The 10,501-nt window shown below is 37.6% G+C and overlaps 2 annotated features.

Annotated features, from left to right (window-relative positions):
• Positions 340–509: an enhancer, noted in NCBI's record as "experimental_44984 CRE fragment used in MPRA reporter constructs". NCBI's record gives its function as "activates a minimal promoter by MPRAs in K562 erythroleukemia cells, with activity observed for both the introgressed and non-introgressed 16:77142552 variant alleles {active_cell/tissue: K562}" and the evidence as "EXISTENCE:reporter gene assay evidence [ECO:0000049][PMID:34662402]".
• Positions 9,679–9,848: an enhancer, noted in NCBI's record as "experimental_45056 CRE fragment used in MPRA reporter constructs". NCBI's record gives its function as "activates a minimal promoter by MPRAs in K562 erythroleukemia cells, with activity observed for the introgressed 16:77151891 variant allele {active_cell/tissue: K562}" and the evidence as "EXISTENCE:reporter gene assay evidence [ECO:0000049][PMID:34662402]".

Here is a 10,501-nt window from a genome sequence, read left to right on the forward strand (position 1 = left end):
TATTTTTTTAGTTCCAAGACCCACAGAGCCAGAACTGACCCCAAAAGTAAATTAAGCAGCTGAGGAATAGATCAAAGTAATGAATGGCTCTTAGACCCAGTTGAGTCTGTTTTTACCAGTTGAGTGATTTATTATCTGCTTTTAGTGAACATTCCTCCTGCTAGGTTTACGTTTTTTCCATCAGGCCTGTGACTTCAGGTGGCCCACCTGTTTCCCCACAGAGATCTGAAAATTGTCTTACCTTGGAACCAATCTGAAACAGCACCACGCCGGGCATGGTGGCTCACGGCTATAATCCAAGCACTTTGGAAAGCTGAGGTGGCTGGATCACCCGAGGTCAGGAGTTCAAGACCAGCCTAGCCAATATGGCAAAACCCCGTCTCTACTAAAAATACAAAAAGTTAACTGGGCGTGGTGGCAGGCTCCTGTAATCCCAGCTACCCAGGAGGCTGAGGCAGGAGAATTGCTTGAATGCAGGAGGCAGAGGTTGCAGTGAGCCGAGATGACGCCACTGCATTCCAGCCTGGGCGACAGAGTGAGACTCTGTCTCAAAAAACAAAAAAAGGAAAAGAAACAGCACCGCATAACTGGGAATATTCCAAGACTGCCAGAGAGATGCTTAAGTAGTTTCTGTCTCCTCCCAAATTTGGGGTAAGAATGGTTCTCATGAGAGAAAATGCTTTGGAGATGCTTTTGTGGACTTCTATCTCAAAAACAAGACTCCAGAAAATAAATTATCACCAAATACTGAAATATGAGTTGCTATTCTACAATCCTTTTAAATATGAGATGCTGTATTCAGTATTCCTTCTGTTTGGGAACATTTAGAGACTTACCTGCTCCCTTCATGTGGTATTCCCCACGTCCCACTTCATTTGGCAAGCTATTTGCGTACGTGAGCTATCTACTCCATAGCAAGCTTTTGCAGAAAAAGACCTGTGTTTGATTAAGCTCTATATTAACCAGCCAGGCGCAGTGGCTCACGCCTGTAATTGCAGAACTTTGGGAGGCCCAGGGGACCGGATCACCAGAGGTCAGGAGTTAGAGACTAGCAGCCTGGCCAACATGGCAAAACCTTGTCTCTACTAAAAATACAAAAATTAGCCAGGCATGGTGGTGCATGCCTGTAATCCCAGTTGCTTGGGAGGCTGAGGCAGTAGAATCGCTTGAACCCAGGAGGTGGAGGTTGTGCAGTGAGCCACTGCACTCCAGCCTGGACAACAGAGTGAGACTCTGTCCAAAAAACAACAAACAAACAAACAAACAAAATGCTCTATATTAACAAGTATTTTCATGATGCCTGAATATTAAGTATTTGCAAATTAAATGAATGCCGTGACACTTGAAACTGCTATCTTCAAGAATAAAGTTTCTTCCTGACTTTAAAAAGAAAACAAAAATAAAAAGTAAATATGAGAGCTTGGATAAAGCATACATTTTTAAATAGCTTTTGTGATTACAAAATACATTGATATTTGTTGTCAAAAATATAAAACGCTCATGGAAATAGAAAAAAAATGAAAGTCATCATTATGCCACTGTAATCATTGCTAATATCTACCAAGCTATATCCCATCTATAGATATTACAGTTTTGCTTAAGACCTTTGTGAGTTTTTTTTCCAATATACAAAATTTTCTTCAGACTCAAAGAGGTAACTCATTAAAGTGGGCTCTTTGTGTCTTTGTCCCCAAGCAGGGAGCCAGCTGCTTTGGCAGGTGTGAGGATGATGTGGAGTTCCACTGCAGCAGGTGTTTAATAATCCTTTGCTTGTACCTTCTATCTCCTCCAGCGGTGCTGTGAGCAACAGAAACTGTTCTGAAAACCCACTCTGTGGAAGGTAGCGATTAAGCAGGAATGATTTATACCTGCCAGAAAGATTGTTTCCTTTAAAACTGTCTTTAAATTGTGGTTAAGATATATTTGTTTGGGAACACTGCTGGTTCAACTTTAGCATTGGGAGAAAGTTGAAAGGTAACTTGGAAGATGATCTGTGGGTATTTGTTTAATGCCAAGCTGACTCCAGCTTCTCCACCATGCAGATTGTACAGCTTTTCTGTCCCCATAATATATAAAAATAATAAAAGGGGGAGGAAAGTACACAGAGCCTGATACTGTTAGAAATCTTCCAGTTTTATATTCAATTTTATAATGTTATATTCAGTAAGTTAAAGCTGCTTTAAAAATAGTTTCTAATGAAATAATGGAGGGGTAGTGTATTCATCCCTGCTTTAAACGATGTCAAATATTGTTTTAATCTGGTGTAATGGGTGGCTTCTGCAGTGCGAATCAACAGAGGACATTCAGATTACTTGGTTAGCCTCGAATATAGCATCAGGTATTCTAATCAAGTTATTTCCTTATGCTTACATAAAGTCAGTAGATTTTATTGGTTTTGCATCAGCAGACACTGCCATATTGGTGCCTTTTTCAAAGTGACATTGATATTACTGAACCTAAGGCAAAAACAAATGTATATGCCAGTAACAGTAGCAAATATGAAAATGGAATTCTGATAATACAGTGTTTAATGTAGCAAAATCAGCAACAACGTATTTTTTGTCTGAAAATAAACATCGAAAAGAGTCGGAAAATGGAAACACCCTTGGTAATCAGATATTCTGTCTATTATACTATTTTACATACCCTGGGACAGATGTCAAGAAAGTTTACTTCATCAACACCATCTTTCATAGCTTAAGTTAATGTTGAGAAAATTTTATTGACAATAAGCTGTTTTACAAATGTAATATTAGTTCTTCATTTTGGGTGTGTTTGGGTGTGTATTTTTCATCTTGGCTCAAATCTAAGGACCCAATATGACAACCCTGTGGTTTGGGAGGAAAAGTAGAGGCCTAGAAGAATAACATTGGGCAGTCCACTCAGATAATGCAAGAGCCAATTGAGGCTTCTTAAAACCTAATTTGGGCATAATATCTGAACTGTTACACCTGCTTCCTTAACTAGATAAACTGAATTGGGTGACAGATCTCTCTGGCAGGAAAAAATATTGCACAACTCTTCCAAGACAGACATTTTCACCAATGGGCCATTAACCTCAGCCCTTCTTGTATCTTCTGCATTCCACCAAAGCTTATTATGTCTTGACACATACTTTCCATTTTAAAGAAAGTACACTCAGCTTTCAGGAAGATATTAATATACAGTTAAGTAATATGATTTCAAAACTGAAACGAATTTATCACAGATGAGTTACGTAGTCTATCACTGGTAAAACCCTAAGGTTTTATTTATAAAATGCAGAAATCAGAAAAACAAGTTAGTCATAATTTAATTGCATGTGTATCTGCAATTGCAGGTACAGTCCCATTTTTGTGAAATGTTTACATTTGGAACTTTTCTGAGGATACCATTTATGAAGCCAATCTTTGTCTATTAATATTATACTTCCTCCTCCATGCTCATTAATAGAGCATGTCTCCTAGATGTCTTTGAAGGGATGCTGCTTACAGAAAATAAATGCTACCATTGTTGTAGCATGCATGTAAAGCTTACTTTCTTCATCATATTGTAGATAAGAAAAATAAATGCAGAATGAAATATTATATTTGTAATGTCTAATTATTGTAATAACTATTGTTATTTGAAATCCTATAACATGTACCCCTGGATGAAATTCAGTGCACATTTTATGTGTATGTTCACTTTTGCTAACTTACATCATTCATTCACATCTGTTCCTTTGATCAAGTTGTCATGCCCTCCGAAAGGTAAGGGCTATATGACTTCAAACATGTGGAAACTTCTGTTTTGAGGAACTTCAATATTTTCACCGATTTATATCTGTATTTATAATTCCATGATAATTATACATTTAGTGAGTGTCTACCATGTCCCATTTAGTCCTTATGACAACACTGCAAAGTAGATAGTATTACTAAAGAGGAAATTGACACCCAGCGAAGTTGTCTATTATGTACAAGCATTTACATGGCATATGAGATCCACATCTATTTCAGACAAGCTTCTTTCATGTGGCAAGGGTGTGGCTTTTACCATCACCACAAAGCAATACTAGAAGAATCAGGGAAGAATGTTCTATCTTTTGTTCTGTTTGTAGTAGTACCAGTGACGAAATATGATTGGCCTAATGGAGCATGTGTCTACCTAGGGCCAAGCATCGATCGCTGTGGCCATATGTATAGGTATTACCATTGGCCAGACTGAGATCATATACCCACCTTGTGGTCAGTGGACAGAAAACATTGAAACCACCAGCATTCTATGGAATGGATGGTAAAGATGAACAAATTCCCCATAAAGAGACAAATTATCTTATCAGAGGAAGGGTGACAATGCTACATTAAATACACACACACACATATCCACTTACGAAGTACAGCTTCAAGTTCTTTTAACATGCTTCCCATTGAGAAGCAGGTCTAAGTCCCTGGAACTTGAACCTGGTTCTGTGCTTGCCTGACCAACAGAATATAGCGGGAATGCCGCTGTCCGGTTTCCAATCCAAAGAATTAAGAAACTGGCAGCTATCCTATCTCTTGGGCTCATTCTTGCAAACCAACCACAATGCTACAGAAACATATGTGGGAAGTCCATGCAAAAAGGAAACAAGGTCCAGGCACTCATCCCCATGAATTCTAAGCCAACAGCGAGGATCATATTGCCAGTCATGTGACTATAAGGATTCTGTGAGTACATCCTCCAGCCCAAGTCAACTTGCTTTAACTGATGTTGTATGAAGCAAGAACAAGCCTTCTTTCCAAGCCCTGCCCAAATCACATGTTTATGACCTGATTATTGTTGTTGTTTGACGTCATTAAGTATTAAGGGCATCTGCTATGTAAACAGATAACTAAAACAATCAGAGTCCAAAAATTTTTGCTCTTTCTTCTGCATTGCATACACAAATCTGGCTCAGCACCAAATTTTGCACAGCCCTCTAAATACCCAGCACTATGCCAAGCACATTGTAGTTATGCTATAAATATGTATGAAATAATTGAATTTTGCATTATTCACTTTGTAAATGGATAAATAGCACAAAGAACTTAAGTGACTTTCAGAAGTGAGTCTTAAGCTGAGCTGGAAATAAAAGATTTTCATATCCAAGTTGAATGCATTATCTATCAGGACCCTCAGAAGAGTCTCTTTACATAAAGCACAATCTAACTCTTCTATTTCTCATGGAATAAGATGACGGGTGGTGAATGCTTTCTGAGCTTTAAAAATAAGCATGCTGAAATGCCTGGAAGGATAAGCTATAATGCATTAACAGGCGTTAACTTTGGAGAGTAGTCCGTGGAGTTTGAAGAAGCAAATTGATTTCTACCTTTGGTACCACTCTTATTTCTTACAGTGAATGTACATTAATTTTATACTTTTAAATGACATTAAATTAGAACTAGTAAAGGAAATTCACCAAAATGTTAGCAGCAAGTATCTTGATTATAGGATTATGAGGGTTTTACACTGACATTTATTATCTAAATTGTACATTGCTGTAGAAAATGTACTCCCCTGCAGTTCCTGAAGAATTTAATTTCAAATTCTTGTCTTTTAAAATCCCAAATTTTATATAACAGAAAAAATTCATTGCACATTATTCAGACGTGTCACACAAAATCAACTGCAATGTCCCAAGCTTCAAATTCACACACACAGAGAATGACGCATCTGAACACACACTCCCAACTTCATCAGGAAACCATTATGGGAAAGCTCTGCTTTTGAGCACAGCACCAGTAAGAATGTTGCAAACAATTCATTGATCAGCCTTTTTACTCTTGAAGATTTTGTCTTGCTACAGCAGCATTTCCAGGAAAGAGGTTTGAAACATACACTTGCTCAGTGCTTCCTGCTTACGTGGGAAGATGGCAAAGAGCCCATTTGCGTCTGCCTCTGAGGCTCAAGCACTGCTAAGGGATACTAAACCTTTGACACTTTCAGAGCTTTCCTATTTATGTAAAAGCTAGAAAATTAGTTAATATGGTACTTTAGATTCTCTTCAGTTATAACTAAAAATGTTCTCTGGGCACAAAATTTCAGTGTACAGACACTCTGCTCCTGATTTTCTATTTCTATCAATGGATTGAGTAATTTTCAGCCCAAAGTACAAGTTATCAAAGACCAAGCATTTTATTTACTCATTATATATCCAGCCTACAGCTAAAAAGCAGGTACCATTCAACAAGCATTCTACTGAGCACTGAAGAAATATGAAGTTGGGAGATATACAATGGATAATTCTTACTCTCAACTATTAGTCTGGTGCAAAAGTAATTGTGGCTTTTGCCATTACTTTTAATGTCCAACAAAATGTCCAAAAAGGTGATTTCCCATCTGTCATGGACTCTGTTAGTTACCTAATCAGCCATCATCCTTGTTCCCTTTTTTCTTTTTTTTTCTTTTGAGACAGAGTCTTGCTCTGTCACCAGGCTGGAGTGCAGTGGCACAATCTGGGCTCACTACAACCTCCACCTCCCGGGTTTAAGCGATTCTCCTGCCTCAACCTCCCGAGTAGCTGGTACTACAGGCGCCTGCCACCATGCCCGGCTAATTTTTGTATTTTTAGTAGAGACGAGGTTTTACCATGTTCACCAGGATGGTCTCAATCTCTTGACCTCGTGATCTGCCCGCCTCAGCCTCCCAAAGTGCTGGGATTACAGGCATGAGCCACTGCGACCAGCCCGCTCCCTTTTTTCTTGCTAACAGAACTTAAGCTTTGTCCAGGATGACAATGTGCCAAGCTATAAGGGATGAATCATGACTGGTCTAAGCTACTCATGTCATGTCTCTTGTATTCCCTTTGCTAGAAACACACACTCCCAGACCCCTCTGCAGCTACAGGTAGTCATGTGACCTTGCTCTGGCCAGCAGACATAAGGGGGAACTCAGTTCAGAAGAAAGATCCCACCTACTTCTGACTCTTCCTTCCTGTTAAGAATGCAGCTGTATGAGTAGCCTTGTAGTTATGTGTGACCATAAAACAACCAGCATTGAAATGGGAAGGGCCCTCATTGAAGCAGAATGGAGAGAATCCGGGGCCTTGACGCCACTGATGAGCTAAATAACCCTGTTAACATTGACTTCTTAATCTTCTTTTGTGTTTTAAGCCACTACAGCTTGGATTCCTGTGCTTGCAGTCTATTGGATCCTAAAAATCCTGATAAACTGTCCTATTGATTTATTTCTGGGCAATTTTAGGAAAGGCTTTTTATTCATACAATGCCTTGACATGGATATTTCATTACTTTGCAGTAAATACTGAAATTATTGAGCATTCCCAGTATATATATATATATATATATTTTCCTGTCTGGAAGAAGGAGAAAATACCTTAAGTATCTTAAGTTTCTTTTGCTTTCATGATTCCTTTGCTTTGGTTTTTCAGAATTTGACTATGATGTGTCTCAGCGTTGATTTCTGAGATGGTTTGCCTTAGTTCTCTGAACATGTTCATAATAATTGATTTTAAGTCTTTGTCTCATATAGTCAACATTTAGGCTTCCTTGGGAACATTGACTGCTTTTTTCCTTGTATATGAGTCAGATGTACTATTCTATTTTTTCATATATCTGATATTTTTGTTGAGGACCGGACATTGTATATAATATAATGCATCAACTATCAAATCCGATCTCCCTCTTCCCCAGAGTTTGTTGATGTTGATGTTGTTGATTCTTGTTTACCTTCCTAATTCTGTACAGCCTGTATTCCTTGTCATACGTGACTATGGAAGTCACTAAGCAGATTGTCAACTAATGATTGAACAAGATTTCCTTACATCCCTTCAGCCAGTAAGTCCTATTATTTATTTCATATGGCAGAAATATAAATAATCAAAATGTCTAATATGATATAATTTTTCAACTTAAAATAGATTCATTTTTCAAAGAATATATCTTTGAAACATCACATTTTGAAGACTTTTGAACATAATATAATATGAGGTGAAAAGACATAATGAAAAACTTTAAATAGCCTAACCTCAATTTCATAAAATGTACATGCCATATAAACAACCAAAAAAAAAAGTACATGCCAGATAAACAAGCAAAAAAAAAAAAACCTAGAAGAAAATGTTATACCTTATACAAAAATTAACTCAAGATGGATTAAAGACTTAAACATAAAACCCAAAACCATAAAAACCCTAGAAGAAAACCTAGGCAATACCCTTCAGGACATAGGCATGGGCAAAGACTTCATGACAAAAATGCCAAAAGTAATTGTCACAAAAGCCAAAATTGACAAATGGGATCTAATTAAACTAAAGAGCTTCTGCATAGCAAAAGAAAGTATCAGGAGAGTGAACAGGCAACCTACAGAATAAGAAAAAATTTTTGCAATCTATCCATCTGACAAAGGTTTAATATCCGGAATTTATAAGGAACTTGAACAAATTTACAAGAAAAAAACAACCCCATCAAAAAGTGGGTAAAGCCTATGAACAGACACTTCTCAAAAGAAGACATTTATGTGGCCAACAAACATATGAAAAAAGGCTCAACATCACTGATCATCAGAGAAATGCAAATCAAAACCACAATGAAATACCATCTCACGCCAGCCCAGAATGGCGATTATTAAAAAGTCAGGAAACAGTAGATGCTGGCGAGGCTGTGGAGAAATAGGAATGCTTTTACACTGTTGGTGGGAATGTAAATTAGTTCAACCATTTCATATCTCAAAAAAAGTCTCAAAATATGAAAATAATAATAGATCTTCAAAAAGCAGTTATGGGTATTGTTTTTCTTCTTATATTTATTTTCACCACAGTTTTTAGGACAATTACACAAAGAGGACATGATTCTGTAGGTGGACTTCCTGCCTCCTACACCCCTGAACCGTCTGCCCCAGCCTCTACTTCCTTCTTAACTCACTTGAACAAGATATGGTAAGAGGCAATTCCAGAAACCAACTATGGTGCTCAATTTAAGAGAAAGAATATAAAATGAAAAAGACAGAACTATGTACAAATGTGTGTGTTTATTTGGAATAAAAAAGAAATCGCAGAAATCTATAAAAAGCTGAAAAATACCACAATTATTACAAAATCTGGACACACATTTTTATTAACACATCTCCAGAAAATATTTTCCTACTTTTTTTGGCTTGTATTTTTTTTATTGCTTTCTCATATGACAACAATTGTGTTTCCACTTTCTCTAAAAAGAATAGAATAATTTTATCTTTCCTCTAACATGGTTGGTTGAATTTTTTAAATTATACTTTAAGTTCTGGGATACATGTGCAGAACGTGCAGGTTTGTTACATAGGTATACACGTGCCATGGTGGTTTGCTGCACCCATCAACCCGTCATCTACATTAGGTATTTCTCCTAATGCTCTCCCTCCCCTAGTCCCCCCACCCCCGACAGGCCCCAGTATGTGATGTTCCCCTCCCTGTGTCATAGTTGGTGTTTTTTAAACATGAAAGTTCACATACAGATGTACCTTTTTTTTGCAATACTACCATAGGAGTGTGCCTTACAAACATATAAATTCTGATGAATTCCATTTCATACTGTTTTCACTTAAAATGTAAAGTGAATTTATAATTTCCTAGGCTAAATTATATTTCTGCAAAAAGTGAGAGATTAGGTAAACCTGCCTGAGGTTACACAGCTGGCAGATTGCTGCACTGGGATTCCGTTCCTGACAGCTGGCATTCATCATGACTCACGTTCCTACCCACTCCTCTACACTATGCCTTCCAACCTCATGCCTGCACTTCTGAAATCTTGATTAACTGTGAAAGGGGAAAGGCGAGAAAGGAAACAAGCCAGAATTTACTGAATATTTGCTGTGTGTTAGTCTTTTATGTTTGGCATTTTCCTTATCTCATTTACTCTGCAAAGAAACTCTGAAAGGTCAGTACCATTTTCCCCAGTCTAGCAGTGAGTAAACTGAGGCTGAGAAGTTCAAGGGTACAACACTAAAAGTCAACAGTGTAGTTCCAAAGCCAATACTCTTTCTACTATACACACCTGATTCTGTAAAAATATAAGGGAAAAATATGGAGTGTCTGGTATGAAACTTTAAAATTAGATTTCAGAGTATTTTATTTATGTTACAAATACTTTTGTTGGTTTCCTGTTATTTCCTAGATTGTAAATGCATCCAGGAAAGCACCTGTTTTTTGTGTGTGTATTTGTTCCAGAAATACACCTCCAGAACTCACCTTCCCAAAAAGAAACTCTACCTATTAAACAATAACTCCCCGTGTCTCTCTCCTCTCAGCCCTTGGCAACCACCGTTCTGTTTGCTATGGTATGACTACTTTAGGTACCTCATATAAGTGAAATCATATAGTACTTGTCCTTTTGTATCTGGCTTATTTTACCTTGCACAATGTGGTAAGTGATCAAGGTTCATTTCCATTGTAGCGTATGTCACAGCTTCATCTTTTTCAAGGCTAAATAATATTCTGTTGTATGTAGGTACCCTATTGTGTCTACGCAGTCATCATCGATGAACATTTGAGTTGTTTTTACTTTTCACCTATTGTGAATAATGC

The sequence above is a fragment of the Homo sapiens genome, chromosome 16, assembly GCF_000001405.40.
Source record: "Homo sapiens chromosome 16, GRCh38.p14 Primary Assembly".
Classification (NCBI taxonomy): Eukaryota; Metazoa; Chordata; class Mammalia; order Primates; family Hominidae; genus Homo; species Homo sapiens.